A 22,964-nucleotide genomic window follows, 5' to 3' on the forward strand; every position below is an offset into this window, starting at 1 on the left:
CACATTGACAGATAAAGTTAGTAAAGGGAGATCTGTGTCTTAGAAAGGAGCAAAGGCCTGAGAACATAAACTCTCATGACACCTGAGACAAAATGGTGAGTGTCAAAGTCTGGGACACCAACTGGGCATTCTCTACATTGCAATTTTTACTTGACTAAAGGTTCTGACCAAAGATATAATGTTTCTGTTCAAACCGAGAATCTAAGCATCTGATGGAAGCAGCTGTGAGATCTATGAAAGCCTCTGCAAGCCTTCTCAGCTGCATCTCCCTGGAGTCTCACATGGCTTTCACAAGTGACATTCCATGACTGTGCCACAGACCAAAACAAACCAGAAATCTACACGCAAGAAGCTTTTGGAAAACTGGAGGAAGCCAACTCCTACATCCCCAAAGTGGAACTTTTAAAAGCAGGGAGAAATAAAAGAAAAGGCAAAGAAGTTTTTTTTAAGCTGACACTGCTAGAACCATTATCTATCCATGTCAGAAGAAGCATTTAGAATCCATCTTTCTATCATTATTAATTTATTAAAGAAGTGCAAAAAATAAATTTATTTAATAAGCAACATAAGATGACAGAAATGCTTCACAGAGCCTATGACTTCATAGCTTTAACATAGAAATCACATTCTCATTGTATCTTTCCACCTGAGAACTTGCCCATAAATCATCCTTTACTTTCCCTGGTTCTTTAGATGCTTCTGTTTAGATTTTTCTCCCTCTGAAGAAACAAATAACAAAACACCATGATTATTTCCCTTTATCTTAAAATACTTCCCTTGTTACTCTTGAGCTAACACCTCATTTTTTGAAACACTTTATAGAAAAGTCTTTTCCACAAGATGGTCTACACCTGCTGCCTCCCCTCTCTCCCCACCTTGCCTGGATGTGACTTCCTCCTCTGGCTCCTAGTTCCCAGGACCTTGTCCTGGCTGTTTCTTCCTGAACTTCTTTCTGTTACATATGGCCCTTTTGACTACCTATCTTTCTTAAAATTCTCTATTGATTATTTCCAACTTTTTTTTATCTCTCCCTATTCTTATTTTCTCTCCCTCCTTCTAATTTTCTCTGCTTTCTTTGATTGTTTTGTTTCCTAACTCCTAAAAGTGCACATGTTCTAGAGTTCTGGGTTTTGCTTCATTCTCTTCTATATACTTACATTTTATTGATTCAAAATATCAAAAGTATATATTTTTATCTTCCTTATATGCCTGTGCTCTTAACGTCAGGCACTGTCAGCATCACTGCTCTCTTGTCTGTTCCAGGATTATAACCACATGGGTCTCAATGTTATTAGGTCTATCCTAAATTTTGTCTCTCCTTCCATGAAATTTCTTTTATAACAGAATTTTCATTATGACCCTATTTCCTCCCTGAATGGACTATTTCAACTACCTCCAGGATATTCCTACCCCTTTCTAATCCGACCTATCATTTCATCAAACTTAACATATCTTCTGTTGTCTACCCTTCCATTTAAAATGATACATGTTAAGTTTTCCAGAAATATGGCATCACCATCACTACTCAGACATCTTATCCAGGAAAAACTGAGCTCTTCTCTATAGCTCTTTGTATTGTAAATGATGTTCAGATTGTGCCATAGGACACCATTCCTGCATGCCAGCTTGCCTGCCAGTGTGATTTGCAGTCCTTCCTCAGTGTTCTACAGAACCAGAAGTTGAAGTCACTCTTATCTTGAAGATATATTGTTTTTGCTCATTCACAAATGTTTAATGAGGCTATGTTTTGGTCACAAATACCCTAATGTTGATAGGCAAGTTGTCTCATAAAAATGATGTTTTAGGTTTCCATTTGGCTTTTCAATATTAAGGACAATTCTGAGATTGAACTAATATTTAATTGAGAAGTTATCTATGGTATCTAGGAAGGGTTACTAAAACCTCTATACTTTTCTATATGCTGAAGTGGATCCTGACTGTCTTTCCTCTTATATTTAGGGCATTAACACTTAACCAGTTGCATTATTCCATTTATTATAAATTCTACATTCCAATCTGTACTACCCACTCCACTTGAAAGAGAGAGAGAGACGGAGAGAGAGAGACAGAGTTTTCCTCTGCTTGTCTCAAAATTGTCCTATAAACCACAACTTGCACCTGCAATATTAATAGACTTTTCACAGGTAGACTCGAATGTATTCTTCCATATACCTAAATAACACAGTCAAGTGTCCTAATTGAGATTTCAAGTAATATTTAGAACTAAGTTAATCTCCCACAGATAGTTGAGGGTTGACTATGTAGGTAGCTGAATTTTTATGAACAACATTTCTTATAACTACTGAATAAAGAAAAGCTGGGTATAAGAACAGAGGGCATTTGAGAAATCAGATACTTTATTGGCAGCTACCAGAAATAAGTACCTACTGGCTTCAACTTCCCTGGTTGAAAAAGTGATAAATTCCACAGAAGCCTGAGGAGTTGCCAGAAGAAAGGCTTTCTGGCAGAGCACGCAGGATGTGATCAAATGCTTTAGCAGAACGTTGGAGTTACATGACCTTTAACAGTAATAGCCAAGTAATAAATTAGTCTCCCCAGCTGCTAGTTCATAATCATAACAGCAAATATTATGTGAAAATTAAAACCATGGCAGATAGTAGTCATGGTAACATAACATAGTGATCACAGCCATTAAAGGATAGAGTACTGAGGTCTGAGAGAAACTCAGTTAAGAATACAGATATTTGATTTGAAAAAAACAAACAAAAAAGCTACTTTTGAAATTAGCACAGCATAATGCAGAGAGGTTGTGAAAACAGTTTTAAATCATACCTTAATCCTGGAAAGTACAACGGCATTGCCTGGTACATCAGATCATTACTGTGGTTTTATTATCATTATCATTGAGTAAGCTTTTAGCAACTACACCTTGTTATAACCCATTCATCAGCAAAACAGGCATTGCCAGGATTGAGTGGTGACCTTGGTTTCAGGGGCAAATAATAACAGAGCCCTTTATCTTGTTCTTCTTTCCTTTATTCCTTCTTTCTATTAGTCTCTCCATTGTTTTTGTTTTTTTTTTCTCTTACCCATATTTAATTATACTAAGGCTTCAGACATGCTATGAATTATTGGAGTTGGTAAGAAGTCATATCATTGTTTCTTAAAAGCTCTCAATATTGCACCATCATCCACAAGACAAAGGCAAGTCTTGAAAACGTGACCCTCAAGATTCTTTAGTTGGTCCCTGCCCTTTTCTGCAGCCACAATACTTTCTGCTTCCTGCCTCACACATTATTCTCTGTAACATCTACTTACTCTCATGTATCATTACATCTTTCTTCTAAACTAACAAATATGCATAATCCGCACAAACTGAGCCTCATTTGCCAAAGACCAGGAAATTCTTTTGAATCTCATGGTTTAATTGATTTCAATTGGCCACTAAAATTTCGTCTATGAGTAAATCTAGTGATCCTTCTGCTCTTATGTACAGAAGCCAAGAGGTCTGCTGCTAGATTTGTATATACGTGTGTCTTATTTCACTTCAGATTTTTCATTTGAGAGTGTTCTTAGTCATCCTTAAGATAATTAACAGCTTTGATAAAAGGAACAAAGCTAGCATTTTTTTTTTAACAATCCCAAAGCTGTGCCATGAACACATTTAGTTTTTAATAACTGGTATTTACCAACTGACTGGCTGACCAGTGATGCACTAAGAATAAGCACTAACCTTTCTTCTGGATACATTAACTTAAAGTTTCAAAGCCTCTCTGAGACTTGGCATGGCTTTCAAGCCTAAATGTTTTGTGTAAAATATAAAAAGCCCAAAGTCCTCAAAATGTTTTTCTCTTTCCATGAAGCAAAGTGTTTCCTTTGGACATTATATTTTTTTATTGATACTTAAATCACATTTTTTTTCCTGCAACACTAATAAAAACGATTATGTTGCCAAACATTAAAAAGCCCAAAGTATTTAAAGACCTGAATAACCATACAACATTGAACCATATATGTGCCAATATGGCAATTGAGTGTCTTCAGTTGTTTCTTGCTTTTGAGTTTGGTATTCTAAGGATAGTGATTAAGAGCCAGTCTCAAAAATCACTCATTTGGCTGAGTGGTTAAGGCATTGGACTTAAGATCCAATGGAGTAGTGGCTGTGTGGGTTTAAACCCCACTACTGGTATGTTTAGTTTTCATCCCTCCACTCTTTCCAATACCATCATTTGAAAAATACATGAAGAGCTGGGTTCATAAAATTAATTTGCCCTGCTCAGTTGCTTTGTTCATATTCTTATTTTTTACAAAACATTTTATCTAGAAATTAAAAGAATCATCTCCTATTGCCACCGTTAATTGTTGGGTTCTTTTTTTCTTTTTTTTAGCAAGTCTTTTAATCTCTCTGACCCCGTTTCCAAGACTGTAAAATTATGCAACTGTTTTAAATTGTTGTCAATTTATTTTATAACCCCAATATGAGTGGACAATGTTAAGTGGCACTTAAAAGTAGATAGTAGGTTGTATGTACTTTATAGGATTTTCAATTTCTGAAAATCATACTGTGCCTGTTAAGACATTCCTAATGTAACCTTCAGCAAAAGGCTGGATTCATTTTATATTAAGTTAAAATTTTTCCTGTAATATGCTCATACACTTTTTCCATTAAAAGTAAATGCTAAATAATTTGTAAAATGTTTAGCATATTGCAAACCCAGCCAGGAATAAGCTTCATTAAAATAGAACTGTGTAGCTGAAACTGAATATTGCTTAACACTCCTACTATCAAAATATTGACTTAAAAAGCTAATGTCCATTCAATATAAGGACATTTTATTTAACTCAATTCACCTGGGGTCCTCATTGCTGCGGCATTTTTCTCCCCTCTAAGAAGATGTCAGGAGAGTTTCAAAGCTACTCTAAAGAAAGAGAATCATCATGCTCAGTTATACTGGCCCTATGAATTGAAGACTGAGACTGCCACTGATATTGTCTTTTCTGTAGAATAAAAGACCTTTTTTTTTTTTTTACCTGAGAAGATAGCCTCATGGTTAAAACAAACAAACAACAAACAAATCAAAAAAAGTACAGTACCCAGTTTCTTAGTCAATTTTCTATACCTACATCAGAATACCACAGACTGGGTGATTTATAAATAAAAGATGTTTATTTGCCTCATGGTTCTGGAGGCTGGGAATTTCAAGAAAATGGCACTGGCCTCTAGTATGGGTGATCCCATGGTGAAATGTGGGAGGCAGAAGCTATTGTGCAAGAGAGGGCAAACTCTTGGGCCAAACATATCTTTTTATCAGGATATGTTTTACTCCTGTGATAACTAACTCACTTCCACAATAATAGCATTAATCTCTTCATGAGGGCAGAACCCTCATGACTGAATCATGTAATTTTTTTACATTATTTTTAAGAGATGAGTCTCACCTTGTCACCCAGGCTGGAGTACAGTGGTGTCATCATAGCTCATTGCTGCCTCAAATTTCTGATCTCAAAGGATCCTCCTGCCTCAGCCTCTCAAGTACCTGGGACTACAGGCATGGATCACCACACCAAGCTAATTTTTTTTTTTTACATTGTATTAGTCAGGGTTCTCTAGAGGGACAGAACTAATTAAAATATATATAGAGAGAGAATAATATATATAATAATGGTATATATATATATATATATATATATATATATATGAGTTTATTAAGTATTAACTCACACTATCATAAGGTCCCACAATAGGTCATCTGCAGGCTGAGGAGCAAGGACAGCCACTTTGAGTTCCAAAATTGAAGAACTTGGAGTCTGATGTTTGAGGGCAGGAAGCATGCGGAATGGGAGAAAGATGTAGGCTGGGAAGCTAGTCCAGTCTCTCTTTTCTCATTTTTCTGCCTGCTTATATTCTAGCTGCGCTGGCAACTGATTAGATTGTGCCCACCCAGATTAAGAGTGGGCCTCCCTTTCCCCGCCCACTGACTCAAATGTTAATCTCCTTTGGCAATGCCCTCACAGACACATCCAGGATCAATACTTTGTATTCTTCAATTCAGTCAAATTGACACTCAGTATTAACCATCACAAGTCCACCCTTTGTCAACTTGAACCCATACACACCTCCTGAGATTATACATAACCTTCAGATAAAGAGAATAATAAGGTCATAATTATGTCTAACATAATACAACTATCCTTCGTACAACCAGAAACGCACCAATCCCCAACTCAAATATTATTACCTAACATTAACAATACTTAAATGATGATGTGAAGTCAATAAATCTTATGTCACATGATAAAAAAGAAAAGAAATTAAATGAAGAAGGAAACAAAAGAAGGAGAAAATACTCATGAGAGTTACAGTCCTCGTTTCTGCAGCTGGTCATGTGGTCATAGCTGGTATTGATGACTACCTTCTACTACCCATTCTGTATTCCCTTTGCCTTTAGCAACCACCTCAGCAGGTTGTGATTATTTTTCCTGGTGGAGTGACCCAAACTTTCTTTCTTGAAGGGTCTGGGTCATTTGTAGTCCTGGATTGGGCTTTTGTAGTTTTCTATTGACCTTAATCACAGGGCATGTTAATACCAAGAGACACCCTAAAGGATCTCCTGTATTCCATGCATACTCTTCCTGACCTCCACTGTGGAGTAGTAGACTGATTTCATCTTGATAGTCTAGGTCATTCACGCCAGCCAACACTGTTACTCCCTTCTAAGCCTGTTGACTTAAAGGTAGGAGGAGCCCAAAGTCTTAACTTCCAGTCTAATGGAATTGTTGTGTCTCCTGGGGGCAATGTTCCTCCCTCTGGAACTAAGACCTCTAGGCCAGCAGAATGTAATGTCGCAGGAATGGGAAGCAAAAAAATTTGCTAGTGGATCACTAGGGGAGATGGTGAGTGGTGCCACTTCCACTTCCATCCCTTGATTCTGGACCCCACTCAAAACTGGCAGCCTTTTGGGTCAGTTGATAAATGTGCCAGAGTAACAAACCCAAATGAGGAATGTGTTTCCTCCAAAATCCAAATAGCCCCCCTAGGCATTGTGCCTTTTTCTTGGTTATAGGAGGGGCCAAATGCAGCAACTTATCCTTCACCTTAGAAGGAATATCTCAACAGACTCCACACCACTGGATCCCTAGAAATTTTACTGAGGTAGAAGGTGCCTGAATTTTAGTGAATCCTGTCTATAAGAGAAACAGTACCATATATTGGATGCTGATTCAGAGCATACATGGCCTTCTGGAGAACTTTTCCCCAGCCCTGCAAAGTATTGTCACATAGTTAGCATTGTAATTGTGGACTTCGAAAGGCCATTCCCCTTTTCTATCTATCCAGCTGCTTCAAGATGATGGGGAACATGGTAAGATCAGTGAATTCCATGAGCGTGAGCCTGTTGCCTCACTTTTTTAGCCATGAAGTGAGTTCCTTGGTCAGAGGCAATGTTGTGTGGTATACCATGACAGTGGATAAGGCATTCTGTGAGTCCACAGATGGTAGTCTTGGCAGAAGCACTGCATGGAGAATAGGCAAACCCAGTGGGGACAAATCTCTGCCCTTTCCATGATGAAAGAGGTCCAATATAATCAACCTGCCACCAGGTAGTTGGCTGATCACCCAAGGAATGATGCCATATCGAGGGCTCGGCGTTGGTCTCTGCCACTGGCAAATTGGGCACTCAGCAGTGGTCATAGCCAGGTCAGCCTTGGTAAGTGTTGACCATGTTGCTGAGCCCATGCGTAACCTCCATTCCTGCCACCATGGCCACATTGTTCATGGGCCCATTGGGCAATAACAGGGGTGGCTGGGGAAAGAGGCTGAGTGATGTCCAGAGAACGGGTCATTTTATCCACTTGATTATCAAAATCCTCCTCTGCTGAGGTCACCCGGTGGTGAGCATTCATATAAGATATTAATATCTTCACAGTTTTTGACCACTCAGGGAAGTCCACCAACATACCTCTTCCCCAAATTTCTTTGTCACCAGTGTTCCAATCATGCTTCTTCCAAGTCCCTGACCATTCAGCCAAACCATTGGCTACAGCCTATGAATCAGTATATAATTACACATCTGGCCATTTCCCCTTCCATGCAAAGTATATAACCAGGTGCACTGCTCGAAGTTCTGCCCACTGGGAAGATTTCCCGTCACTGCTATCCTTCAGGGATGTCCTAGAAAGGGGCTGTCATGCTGCAGCTGTCCACTTTAGGGTGGTGCCTGCATATCGTGCAGAACCATCTGTGAAGCAAGCCCTAGTCTTTTCTTCCTCTGTCAACTGATCATAGGGAACTCCCCATGAGGCCATCAGTGCAGGCGAGGGGAGAGAAGGCAGGGTGGCAGGAGTGGAGACCATGGCCATTTGAGAAACTTCTTCATGTAACTTACTTGTGCCTTCAGGACCTGCTCAAGCCCAATCACATATATACCACTTCCATTTGATGATGGAATGGTGCTATACATAACCCATTTTATGGCTTGATGGGTTAGAAAGCACCCAGTTCATGATAAGCAGTTCAGTTCACAGGGTAACATGATGACCCATGGTCAAACATTCAGTTTCCACCAAAGCGCAGTAACAGGCCAAGAGTTGTCTCTCAAAAGGAGATTAGTTATCTGCAGAAGATGGCAGGGCCTTGCTCCAAAATCCTAGAGGCCTCCACTGTGATTTACCTATGAGGTCCTGCCAAAGGCTCCAAACAGCATCCCTATCTGCCACTGACATCTCAAGCACCATTGGATCTGCTGGCTCGTATGGACCAAGTGGCAGAGGAGTTTGCATAGCAGCCTGGACCTGTTGCAGAACCTTCTCCTATTCTGGACCTCACTCAAAACTGGCGGCCTTTCAGGTCACTTGCTAAATGTGCCAGAGTAACACACCCAAACGAGGAATATGTTGCCTCCAAAATCCAAATAGGCCCACTAGGCATTGTGCCTCTTTCTTAGTTGTGGGAGGGGCCAAATGCAGCAACTTATCCTTCACCTTAGAAGGAATATCTCAACAGACCCCACACCAATAGGCCCCTAGAAATTTTACTGAGGTAGAAGGTCCCTGAATTTTAGTCATATTTATTTCCCATCCTCTGGCACCCAAATGTCTCACCAGTAAGTCCAGTGTGTTTGCTACTTCTTGCTCACTGGATCCAATCAACATAATGTCATCAATGTAATGGACCAGTGTGATATCTTGTGGAAGCAAAAAGCAATTGCAGTCTCTCTGAATAAGATTATGACACAAAGCTGGAGAGTTGATACACCCCTGAGGTAGGACAGTAAAGGAGTATTGCTGGCCTTGCCAGCTGAAGGCAAATTGCTTCTGGTGGGCCTTATGGACATAAATGGAGAAATAGGCATTTGCCAAGTCAATGGCTACATACCAGGTACCAGATGTTCTTTGGTTCTCCACATATGGTCAAAGCTATTATGTATAGAGTCACTAAACTTCTTGCCTCTCGACACGAGGGATGAATCAGGATAAATCAAATTCATTTATTTTGCATAACTCTCTAAACAGTTCATGCCAAGGACTATCAGTGTTCTCCATACTATTAGAAGAAGAGTCCTTAGTATTTTGAGGTCTAATCATATTAAGCAGCCAACTCCAGAAACCCCAAAACCAATGAAAGAACTCCATCCTTAATACTCTGCTCCTCTAGAACCACTCCTGCTACCAAAATCTGTATTAATCAGGGTTCTCTAGAGGGACAGAACTAATTGAATATATGTATATAGATACACACACACACTCATATATATCATATATTAATATATATCATATATATATATATATATATAAAGGGGAGTTTATTAAATATTAACTCATGATCACAAGGTCCCACAATAGGTCATCTGCAGACTGAGGAGCAAGGAGAGCCAGTTTGAGTTCCAAAACTGAAGAACTTGGAGTCTGATGTTCAAGGGCAGGGAGCATCCAGCATGGGAGAAAGATGTAGGCCTGGAGGCTAGGCCAGTCTCTCTTTTCACATTTCTCTGCCTACTTCATATTCTAGCTGTCATGGCAACTGATTAGACTGTGCCTATCCAGATTAACGGTGGGTCTGTCTTTCCCCGCCTACGGACTCAAATGTTAATCTCCTTTGGCAACGCCCTCACAGACACATCCAGGATCACTACTTTGTATTCTTCAATTCAATCAAGTTGACACTCGATAATAACCATCACATACATTTTAATTTTTTGTAGAGATGGGGTCCTACTGGGTGGTCTAAAACTCCTAGGCTCAAGTGATCTCCTGCCTTGCTTTCCCAAAGTGTTGGGAATGCAGACATAAGCCATCACACCCAGCCAATGACTTAATCATTTCTTAAAGGTCCCATCTCTCAACACTGTTAAAATGGCAAATAAATTTCAACATGCGTTTTGGAGGGGACGTTCAAACCATAGCACCCAGCTTCCCTGCCATTTTAATCTGCCTAGTCAATGAAATATAAGCAGAACGGCCAGGCATGGTGGCTCACGCCTGTAATCCCAGCACTTTGGGAGGCCGAGGCTGGCGGATCACGAGGTCAGGAGATCGAGACAATCCTGGCTAACACGGTGAAACCCCGTCTCTACCAAAAATACAAAAAAAAAAAAATTAACCAGGCGTGGTGGCAGGCACCTGTAGTCCCAGCTACGCGGGAGGCTGAGGCAGGAGAATGGCCTGAACCCGGGAGGCAGAGCTTGCAGTGAGCTGAGATCACGCCACTGCACTCCAGCCTGGGCGAGAGAGAGAGACTCCGTCTCAAAAGAAAAAAAAGAAATATAAGCAGAAGTTGTGTATGTGACTTTCAGGACATATTCTTAAGAAAAGGGAGAAAGTTCTCTTTGTTTTATTTTTCACTGTTTGCTGGAAGGAAGGTCGGCAACCTATAGCTGGGTCAGTCATCTTGGGGCCTGAATTGGAGGTCATGCGTGATAGAGCCAATAAAAGAAAGGGAATCTATACCCCTGATGCAGTGGAATATCATACAAGCTGTGGGCCATCTTTCTTCAGATTGTAGATGAAAGACAATAAGATTTGGGCTTTTCTGCCAAACTTAATCCTATATATCTTTAATGTGTTTGTTTGCGTGTGTGTGCATCTAGTGCCAAGTAACATCTAAAAAAGTTCCTGTATTATAATATTTAATGTGTTACAAGAACACTATCAGGTAGAAAAATATCATAAAAAATGTAACAACTGAGCTTAAAGAGGCCAACTCTAACAAGTAGAAGCCCTGGACCTTCCCTGTCACTATGTCCTTATCTTCCTCTCATTTATATTATATAAGATATTTATTAGTTTATATTATCATCTTCTTCTCACTCAAATGTATGGCCAGAGACTTTTACAGCTATATTCCCAGGACCTAAAACTTGACTTGGAATATTATTTGTTGAACACAAGAATAGACGACTCCATACCCATCTCCAAACCACAAAATTATACTGCTATCCACTGTTTCATCTTTCATAACCAATTCTATATGGATTACAACTGTGTGCATTACAATCAATTCTGTATGGATTACAACCACATGTATTTTACATAGTCTAGCATTTTTGATTATAAAATAAATGCTTAGATATTACATAATTCAGAGAAATGTACAGAGAGATAAGCTCAAGTTTATACTTTGTTATTTGATTTAGCAGACTGACTTTTATTCTCAAATTTATAAGAAGTTTAATATTTTCTGAATTCCATAAATTCTGATGCAAGAACATAATTAATTTTCAGTATTAGCATAATGAATTTGTAGGAAATCAAATAAGGTTACTGTAACCTCACTTTGAACAGTACAGCATTCGAAAAAACATCAAAACTCATTTTTGTTGCTTATTTGCCTGTGAAACGTGTTTTATGATGGCCTTTTCTAATATTGCCCTCTAATTAGCTTTCCTGAATTTGTGAATACATAAATCACACAGAACTACATTTTAAAAAATTAAAATGGAAACACAAGTTCAATTAGCCTGAAATAGGAGAAACATAAGACTGTTTAAGAGTATTTCAGACCGCACTATCGAGTTCCCATTTTATGTGGAGCACTGAATGTTTTTAAAGATGACCCAATAAAAGAGCTAAATTACACAATTTTCAAAAAGATTTTAAGGTTAAAGATGATTATTCATTGTATTTTTTCCATAAAAGTGTTATTTTAAAAGAAAAAAAAAATAAAGGATCCCCAGTAGAAACTGAAACATGACCTTTTCTTTTATTCCTCCAGACATTCATCAAATTGCACTGCTTGATTGTCCTGTTCCTTCCTTGATTTGGTAGGCAGAATATTTGAAATATTTAATTGGCCAGTTATTCCTATCTAAAATCCCATTGCAGACAATGAAACTACTGGTTTGGTAAGAAAACTTAATGCGTTAGAAAAGAGGAATGGGTAGTGTTTGATTAAGGGTCTTTGCATGTAACCTTTATCAGCAAGTCAGAACCAGCTTTTTATCTTGTTTATTGTAGAACTTTCTCGATCTGTGGGCCTGTGATACCTCTTTTCAGCAGTAGAAAGGTGATAGGAGGTAGCAGACATTATTTTAGTTTAAAGTGGATAAAGAGGAGTGATAGGAAAAAATATTATCTTTTGCAAGGAAGCTGATGCATAGCTTGACAAGTGTTCCTGTAATATGATCCCATAATGTTTCAGTTTAGCCCACAAATCTAATGAGATACATTAGTGCGGCTATAGATGAAGTATTCATTTTATAAAGACATCACTTTATTTTGTGAAGACTGTGAATACTTAGCACAAAATTAAAGTGCATGCACATGAACAAATTCAAGTACTTGTTCATATCTCACTCTCCCCACTTGGCTTCAGAAATCTTTCAAATGAATGTAATTTTCTTCCCTATAAATTCTAGAAATGAGAACATTCAACAAATAGGAGAATTAGTTTGCACTTCACTCTCACATTATATTTACCTTAAGGGTAACCTACCTATTTCCCTGGTTCCAAAGATGCTTTGTTCCAAAAATCACAAATGTAAAGAGAAAACTGGTATGTGCATTGCTTCAGTAAACCATGACTGGCAATCATTAAATAACTTTTGCATGATTCAGGATTATACCTGTATTTTAATTTTAGAAATTAATATTTGCTATACATTGGCTTTTGGGTAAGGAAATTCTCATGGAGAACATTCTCTTGCTATATAGCATAGTCCCATGGGTTTCCTGACATTTTGAAAACTATTTTTCCATATTTATCACAGGCTTTATTTAGACTCCATCTCTAGCAAAAGTACAGACAGTACAACATGCGTTTTACTTGATACACTCCTGGCTCCTTCCTCCTACTTCTATTTTTTCATATCTATTTTTGTTTAATATTATTTTTATCTTTTATTGTACATGTTCAAATGCCACCTTAAATCTTTCTGTAACTGGAAGGGTAAAGCTAGATTAGATAGATGGATCAATAAATAGATTGATAGAGAGAATGTGATACAGCATTTACTATTTTACTATATTCCAAGTTTGTACCTCCTTTGCTCAACGAACCCTCATTTACCACCCAATATGTTCAAAGTTATATATTGTGATTCCAAATAGAATAATATGGTCTCTGATGTTAAGGACCTAAAAATTGAGTAGGGGAGAAAGTGACCTCAATAACTAACCACTATACAATATGCTATTTATAAATGACATATAAAAATAGCTATCAGAACACAAGCAGCCCTGGGCATCCCTGGGTGTAAAATATTAAGGAAAGTTTTACAGAGAAGAGGGTATTTGACCTGAACTGGAGAAGAATATCCCATGCAGGGGTAGAGGAGAGGAACAAACAGCATTAGCAAAGGCACACAATGATGGACAGGAATATGCAGGAGGAATTTGAAAACTCGTTAGTTCCCTTTTTGTTACAATTGTCAGTTGGAAGTGGTGTCAGCTGGGTGTGGTGCTACCCTGAGGCATCAGCTTAGTAATACATGACTATATGAGGTACCTGATATGGCTTTTCAGCAGCCCTTGAGTATTGTAGTCAGTGCTGCTTGACCCACTGTAGAGTTAAAGCATCCTCCGTCTCTGCTGATTCAGGTCTATTTTATTTTCCTAGCAGGCAAAACAGACTGCAAAACATTTGGGGGACAGGTACTATATTAAAGAGCTATGTTTTATTAACAGAAGAAATTTCTGGCAAAGATCAACCAAGAAAGTGACTAAAACAACAACCAGACTGGTGATTTTAGCTGTAAAGACTAGATCCCCCAAATCTACTTAGGTTTAAAATTACGGTGAGCAGAGTCTTGTTGGACTGTGGATATGTGACTTTGAAGCATGCTGGGTATCAGGAGGGAATAAGAAGTTTTCTAGCCCTAAAAGAAATCCCCCACAATTGCCCATGTCTCAGTTTCTGTCAGGTTGGTGCAAACGTAATTGTGGTTTTTACCATTAAAAGTAATGGCAAAAACCACAATTACATTTGCACCAACCTAATTTTAAAAAGCTCAAATTCTTAAAAGAAAATACATCTTCCTAAAATATACTTTTTAAGTTACAAATTGAAAAAGTAGGGAAACCTGGGATCAGAGCTAACATCATCTAGTGAGGAACAAGACCTACGCATAGCATATACTTCCTGATACGATATTCCAAGAAAGGCAAAACATCACTCTCCATCTACTCTTGGGAAAACACATGCCGACCTAAATTGAGGGACATTCCACAAAATAAGTGGTAAATACTCTTCAAAATTGTAAAAGTCATGAAAGACAAAGACTGAGAACTGTCCCAGATTGGACATTGAGGAGATAACATGGCAATGCAGTACAGAACCCTGCAGTAGATGCAGTGTCACAAAAAGGACATTAGAGATACGATTGGATTTTGAAGGTTTAAAGATTAGTTAATAGTATGTGCTAATTTTAACTTTATAACATTAATTATACTGAGGTTATGCCAAATTAGCATAGAAGAAGAGCTGAGTGAAGGGGATATCTGTGTACTATTTTTACATTTTATGTCTAAAATTTTTTCAAAATAAAATGTTAAAAAGAAAATATATGTTCTAGTTCCCATTTTCTTTTTTTCTTAGTTGTAGCTTTAAAAAAGAAAGAAAAGATGACAAAATGAACAGAAACGTGTGTGTGTGTGTGTGTGTGTGTGTGTGTAGATAGATGTAGATAGATATATCTCTATAGATAATTCAGTCCTTTTATGAAATATCCATTGCTTTCAAAAGTGAAGTGTTTTCAGGAAAATATTAACTAAACTCAACCTTTTTTGCTTGAATAAAGAATTATAAGACCTATAAGAGATATAATGTAGCCTATCCCACAATTCTCATTAGAGACATTTCAAAGACTTCGGGGACAGGTTAAAAAAAAAATCATCCAAAGCCTATTAGTTGTGGCTTTGTCCATTCTCTCACAATAATATTCTTACAGCTGACTTAAAGATCTCCTCCCTTGGTTAAAACCAAATTTCTCTGGCTTGTTAGAGGAGGAGAAGAGTGGGTGGTTGTCTTCCACACAGTGAAATAAATTTCTTAGGCCCTAATAATCCTCAAACTGGATGTTGCTAACTCCTTTAATTCTTTTCCACAGCTGACATAGATAGTTAATATAAATTCAAATCTCCTATCTACCTTGACTACTTTCTAGGACACAAAGATGGTTTTTCGTCTTCCATTGGGATAGGAGATTATAATCTAAATAAGTGTGTATCCTACACAGCATATTTTTTGGCTGCTACTAAATACTGACTTTATTTTAAATATTATAATGGTTTTGGTGGCAGAGTATCATTTTCACCTTCCCAAAATCCTAGTAATTGCCTGAAAATAGGTAGGCACTTTATTTGTTAAGTGGATGGATGGATGAAAAGCTCTAGGCTAAAGAATGTACTTGATTGAAAGACCCTAATAGGTCTAAACAGAACTACTTTCCATCTCTAAAGACTATTGCTTGGGGCCACTTGCATTTGAATACCTAGAATTAGTGAGAAAATTTACCTAAGACTGATTTAGGATCAAGGTTTCTATCAAAAAGCCAAGTAATGTAATTTGAAGGGCTTTTAACACCTTGTTAAGGGAAAAGTTACCTACAGGCCCTGGTTGTGGTTATCAGAGGGTACTCCTGTTGCCATCGGCCCAGGAGAAAGGAAGCACAAATGTAAATAAGGCTGAACTAAACACTGAGCAACACCCACAGGTAAAACTAGGAGTGTGAAAAAGTCCCGAACCACAGAATCCACTGTGAGTGACCTGAGGAGGGAGAGAACACTGGGCTATCTCCAGAGCAAAGCCATTCCAAGAACACAGAAAATGAAGCCCCATGGGTTCAGTTCCAGAGAAACAGAAAAATAGCCTAGAGAGCTCTGGAAAATCTCCAAGGCAGAAAGAATCGGCTTGGACAGAATAACCAGAAAGAGGCTGACCATTGGTTGTAGAGTGACAGTGATTAGCTTTCAGGGACATGGGGTCCCAGTGGTGTTATTGTCTATTTTAAATGGTGGTCTTCAGTGGAATGATGAAATAATCTGTCAATCTGGATAAAGAGAGGAACTGCACGCATTCAGGTTTGGAGATGAAGAGGGCACAGAGCTGCCCACACAACTCTCACTCCTGAATGCTGTCCTACCTGTAACCTGTCTTGTCCAGAAACTGGGAAGGGGCTTATTGAGGAAAAAGGGAAAAGACATTTAGGAGGCATGATTCTTATTCTTGAAGCAATAGGGGTATATAAATCATCATGTTTCCTTTCAGCCACTCTGGAGCAAGTCCAACTGAATGAATGTGAGAAAAGGGACCTTCAGTTTCTTTGAGTCCTGAGTGGGTGGCGCAGATGTCTCACCCAAAAGAGTCGTAAATAAAGGTGAATCTGGAGACAAGAAAATGTGGTCCTTTTTAATAGTCGGTCATTTGGAGGCTGAGCTGAGGTCCTGGCAGTAGTCACCAAGAAGCAGAGAGTTCTTATCAGTACTTGTACTGAAGGAAAGGTCTGAGATACTGCCCTTTTTACCCCAAGCCTCTAAGATAAATCTGTATAATGATTGCAAATAAAACTTGTATGGGAGAAAAAAAAGATTTTTATGATGTGATAGGCAACATAGAATAAAACTGGCAAAATCTGGCCTTGAGCATCTGCTTTTCTGCCCCTTATTTCTGAGTGTTGCAGTCATAAATTATCTATAGTTCAGTAACATGGCTGGTAAGTAAGGCTGCGTGATATAGCAAGAATGCAGTGCTCTGTTCAAGGTGGCCTGGTTGCAAGGAAAGGAAGCAGGGTGTCGCCCAGCCCCATGGGCTGCAGCACATCTCAACTCTGGTTGGGCAGGGACTTAGATTTACCTGAAAGATGCCATGGGAGATTAATAATTTGATGTAAGCATGTTCTCTCCTTTGTGCTATAGGATGATTAAAAACCCTGATTTGCTTCTCTTCACAGCCCCTTTGGCAGTCAGATTGAAGAGCCTTCTGTCCTTGAGTCCTCCCTGACGTAGATCTGAGAGTGAGATGTGAACTGGACAGAATTAACAGTAATGTAACTATAGCATTTTTCCCCAGCTTTTTAGACAGACAGGTATTCAGTTTTAAAAAAAACTAAATGAGTATGATACAGGTGATGAGGAGCTCGCCTCACTCTTAAACAAGGATGCAAAGCTCTCATATCTGGGAGGTCTTGAGATATACATATTTTTGCATATAACATTAACATATTCTGGTGAACATGTAAAAGCCTTAACTCCAGCTGACAAAAAAAAAAAAAAAAAGAAGAAGTCAAAACCTTTCAAGCCTGCCTTACATTGCAAAAAAAGACAAAAAAAGAAGTTGTTCTTATATTAATATGAGACCTTTCCTCCAAAGTGGTCTATAAGTATGTACAATTGAATATGTTGAACCCATTAACGTCAGGACTGATTCTGGTACCAAAAGGAGCTACTCACATTTTAAATAACAGTCCAATCTTAGACTCTATTAGTAAATTTTTTCCATCTATAATGTCCCCCTCATATCATAATTTTATATAAACTGTAGCCCTTGGCAGATTCTGTCCAGTGTGGATATATAAATAGGAATCACTTCAGCCTGTACTTTGACACTCTGGGAAGAGGGAGAAGAAAAGAGAAGGTGCATAAATGTGAACAATAGTATTTTCTATATTGTCATGTAAGATATGAAAGAAAACCTAATTATTAGGGATACTAATAGGATAAGTTACTTTAATGACATCTGCATTAACAGCCTAAGAGAAATCACACCTAACTACTGTAATATACCCAGCAGACTGAAAAAGTAAGTTCTTCTTGTTCCTGTTCTTTGTGCTTGACTTTCTATAGAGAATCTGTTTGTTTTTATAGGAGGCTTTGTTCTGCAAGTCTGGTAGCAAAATGAGCCTAATTAGGTGAAGATACCTTAGGAAGAGAATGAAAGTTGTAGTCAGTAGACAAAATCGGAGCCAATGAGAATTTATGGGGTCATACACAATGGATTTTCTGTACAACAACTGAGTTCTTAAATATTTTCTCAAAAACTGCATTTATTTCATGGAATATCATCACTTTCACTTGTACCTGCCATAAATTTCTGTCAGTATTTCTCTCATTTGTAAAAAGGTACAGAAGCCACTTTAGTAATATAAAACTACTGCTCCACAATGTAGTTACTGTACTTCCCTTCCTAGGGCTGTTCTTTAAATCTCAGTCTGTCTCTTAGAGTGGCCACAGTTAAACTCTAGGACATTGAAAATATATAGCATAGCTTAAGTTAGTGAAATTTGAACATAGGTAGTTTGTTCCTTTATCTTGAAATTGCAAAGATGAAAATTGTTCTGTTAGTAAAGTAAATTTTATGTGCTACCCTGAGAATAAACAATCTTTGTACCGGTCTTTCTCAATGTTTCTTCACTAGGAAGAGTTTGGAATTCCTAGGGTTTTCTGTGTATCCTAGATAGTTGGCTACAAAAATTGGTTGTTTATATCCTGGAACATTGTATTGATGCCTGATTCTTTTTGGAGAACTTGGCGTCCTCTTCTCCAGATGAACTTTATATCAGTAACAGTCACCATATGACAACCATTCTTCATAAAACCAATCAACTAAATATGCTAGACATTTCTATGCTTTAACTTAAAAATACACACACACGTATATATATATATATATATATATATATATATACGTGTGTGTGTATATAGGTATATATGTGTGTGTACATATATACATGTGTATATATTCTTGGCTGTAGGTAAGAGAAAAACAGAGCTGAAGGACACAAGGAACACAACTGGAGTTTTCAACTTTGCTAAATCTTTGCTAAAAGATTATGTAACTCACAGGTAAATGTGCATGGTGTCCTTGGTTTTATGACTGAATCAGTAAGCAAAATTTAAAGTAGTGGTTGAACTACTTCAGTATCTATGTGGATTATTAATGCTCACATCTTAGAGAAAACTTGAGCTATGCATTCTTATCACCAAGAAATCAGTGTCAAAATTCCCTTACATTTTACATCCTTTACCTTAAATAATAATATAAACTATATTGTGCTATATGTGTAATGTACATTATAGTAATGGGTCTGCAGTAGTCAGAAATGAGTTATAAAGACAGGAGAAGCAGCCTGGGTTTTATATTAGTGATGCTATATTAATTATGACAGAGAAGGCTTTTCCATTATAAGCCTCATTTTTAAGATGCTTGAAGCTTTCCCACAGGAATTTTTCTCATGACAGTTTTTTTTTCTTCTTTTGCCTAGTAATGAAAATAAGGATATTGGTTTTTAATGTTTTTGGGAGATTTTCTCTGAGAATAAAAGTTTTTTTCTGTCCATTAGACCATTTTTTTAGGTACTTTGCTTTCTGAAATCTCAAAACAAATAGCTTTTTAATGACCTTTTCAAACTTGTCTCCAATGAAGAGGTTTCGTACCTTTGGTGTATTAGGCAAAGCTTGATTTGCAAATAATTAAATTACAAGTATTATCCAATACTTCTTCTGCAAATTGTTGTGTCTCCAAATAGCAGTTAGCTACTGTACCTTGCAAATAAGGAGAACTTACAATTACTTGGTCAGTTACTAAAAATTAGCCACTCCTGGATTATGACTGTTATGCGTACAGTTTCTGTGCATACCAAAAAAGAAACCAGAGCTGAAAGTAGTCATTGTACTCTGATGTGGTACATCAGAATACAAGTGAACTTTCCTAACAAAGGAGAGAGCAGTAGCAGGCTGAAACTGTGGCCTGTATGATCTATTGTTATTTAAAATCTCACTAAGATAGAATCACCTCATTCTCTGAGCTCAACAGATTGAGATCCACTCAGGAGACACACAGTTGAGATCCAAAACAGGAAAGGCCTTCACTGCTCATTAAAATGTTAATTACGCCATTGAGGGTTCAGCGCTGCCCTTCAAGAAATTTCAAACCACTTCCCTTATTAACATATTAAGAAGTAATAGTTCAAAGGAGTAACAGCATGATAGGAAGATAGAGTATATATTTATTTAAATACATGGCAATGCATATTTCTCAAGCTTTTTGAGAAATGGAATGATGCATTCTTCCCCTTTATCACTAAATCACTATCTACACCCCTTTATCACTAAATCACTATCCACACTCCTACAATTTCTGATTGGGTTGTAGGTTTCAGATTTCTTAATTGGGGTTGTCGGTGGACAAGCTGTATATTTGTCTCCACACCACACTTGAGCAAAGGGACTATGTTTATCTTCTAATCTATGCAATCCCAGTGTGCAGTACTGTCCATAGCACAAAAGAGGGACTAAAACATTTATATAAATTTTCAAATGTATGAGGTTAAAGCAAAATTTCCTATTCTTTAAATTATGATAGTCATTATTTTAGGCTGTCTAAATCAGCATCAAAAAAGCCTTAATTTTATCTACCCATACGTTCATAAAAGAATATTGCCCTTTCAGATCTTTTATTGGAATTTAAATATCAACTTGCACTGTATTTAGGAAATGCCATACTACAAAATTCATTTAAAGACACTCCTTCCTCTTTGTTTTCCTTTCAGCATGTGCTATTATTGAGGAAGTAAGCACAGACTTATATTGCTTTTCCACTGCTACTCTCTGGTGTAGTTGCCATGCAGCTAAAACAGTGAGTAGTCTGGCAAATGACTGGCTGGCCAGGTGGGTGATACAGGGTGTTCTGGAACCTTAGGACAGTGCTTCTTCTGTGAACGCTTGTCAACTGAAGCAGCTACTCTTCCCTCATTTACCTAACATCTTATTGTTTTATAGGCAGTGTGTAATTCATGGCCTCTTACAAAAGAGGTCCTTCTTCATATTTCCCCAAAGCCAGAAGTTTATAGAAATTACTAGTTTTGTGGAATTTCGTATATGGTTCTTTTTAACTATACTTCTCAGGGCACTTATTTTAAATACTCATAATTTTGAAAGAAGGTGTTCTTCTGAGTGGAAGGTTTCCACTGATAATTTCTTGGTAATGGTAGTGTTTAGAAGATAGGAAGATTACATTCTTTGCATTTCATGCCAGAATATATGAATTCTTCCCTTCGGTAGCATATAATTTTTCTGTTCATATTTTACTGGCCACCCATGACTTAATATGTGGTTTAGCTGATCCCAAAAGATTTGGTTATCCAGAGTTCCATTTAAACTTCTTAAAATCTTAACAGTAAGAAAAAAAGAAATTCATGGTGAAAATCAATTCATTAAATTTCTTTATTTCTTCATGAAATACATTAATTATTTTATTTCTCTTAAATTTGAGTCTTCCAAATCTGGGCTCAGGTATTCTCCTCTCAAACCTGGAAATGTTATGGTGCCAACATAAGAGGGATAATCCTTGATGGATAATCTTGTTCATGTCACTTAACCCCTCTGACATGGCTTTCTTGTCAAAAATAATTGTACATGTGATCATCGTGATAATATGTTGTATTTATATAGAACTTTCAATTTGTAGAGAAATTATTTTTGTCCCTACTAATAATGCCTTGTCCATACAACCACTAAATAAATAATTGTCCGGGATATTCATTATCTTGACTTTTATCAACACGATATTCCTATAAAGTGGATAGAGCATGCAACTGGCTAATTTTATAAATGAGCACACTGGATCCCAGGTTAGGCTGGTGATGTCCTGATGACAGTACTCTGGTTGTGTAGAAGCCAAGTTTCTTATTATCACATCTGGAATTTAAAAGTAAAATTCAACTTAAAGATTATATGCAGGACAAAGATGTTTATTTCATAGATCATATAGATCATGTAAAAAGGTAGAAAAATGGCAAGCTTTTTGAAACTGATCACAAATAAATCTAAAGTAATTTCAATTAGAGGAAAAAACATTGAAAAGAAAATATTATCTAATATTTATTGAAGCCATTATTTCAAATTTTGATTTGGTGAATGTACTTATTTCTATTATTGAGTAGGTACAAAACATTTTCAGCTGGCTTTTATTGAACGAGCTTTTTCACTTTGAACACTGCAATGCTGAAATATTGATTTTTAAAAAAAGAATTCAATAGTTTCAAATGAGTGATATTGGGATTGTTGCAAAATTAATATTAGTTTAGTATATATATGATTATGAACCACTTAGTTTAAGGTGAACAGATTATTTTCCTAGTTTACATTTTAATTGAATGCAGTTTTTCATATTTCTTTATTTCATTTAAAAGTGCTTACATATAGTAATATTTCGTGCAGCCACTCCACCCATCTCTATTTTCTCTCTACTACTAATATTTGAGTTCCCAACTTGCACATAGTACACTAAGGAAGTTAAAAAAGAAACATTGCTCTAATACTGAGGACTCCCATTTTCAAAATTATAAGAATATCGTTTCACTCAAATAGCTGTTTATATAAATGTCCAGTGAACCCTTATTTTTGCATTTTGTATGTAGGCAATGATGAATCATAATTTTGAAGTATGATTAACTCAAGAGTTAAAATTTCTGTTTTTTGAAACTAAAGACTCTGATATCAAAATCACATATTCCTGGCCCCATCCCAGAACTAATGAAGCAGAGTTTTTAGTGAATTAAGCTTAACCCTTAATT

The 22,964-nt window shown here is 37.2% G+C and overlaps 1 protein-coding gene across 1 annotated transcript in view, besides 1 other annotated feature; it reads left to right on the plus strand.

The window, feature by feature from the left end:
- The window catches only part of ADGRB3 (adhesion G protein-coupled receptor B3), a 754,225-nt gene that overhangs the window by 565,137 nt on the left and 166,124 nt on the right, over positions 1 to 22,964 (plus strand). The window lies entirely within an intron of this gene.
- Positions 15,396 to 16,370: an enhancer, noted in NCBI's record as "OCT4-NANOG hESC enhancer chr6:69925706-69926680 (GRCh37/hg19 assembly coordinates)". NCBI's record gives its function as "activates a minimal SCP1, AML or CMV promoter by ChIP-STARR-seq in naive and primed H9 embryonic stem cells {active_cell/tissue: H9 hESC(naive and primed)}" and the evidence as "EXISTENCE:reporter gene assay evidence [ECO:0000049][PMID:30033119]".

This window comes from Homo sapiens, chromosome 6 (genome assembly GCF_000001405.40).
Source record: "Homo sapiens chromosome 6, GRCh38.p14 Primary Assembly".
Classification (NCBI taxonomy): Eukaryota; Metazoa; Chordata; class Mammalia; order Primates; family Hominidae; genus Homo; species Homo sapiens.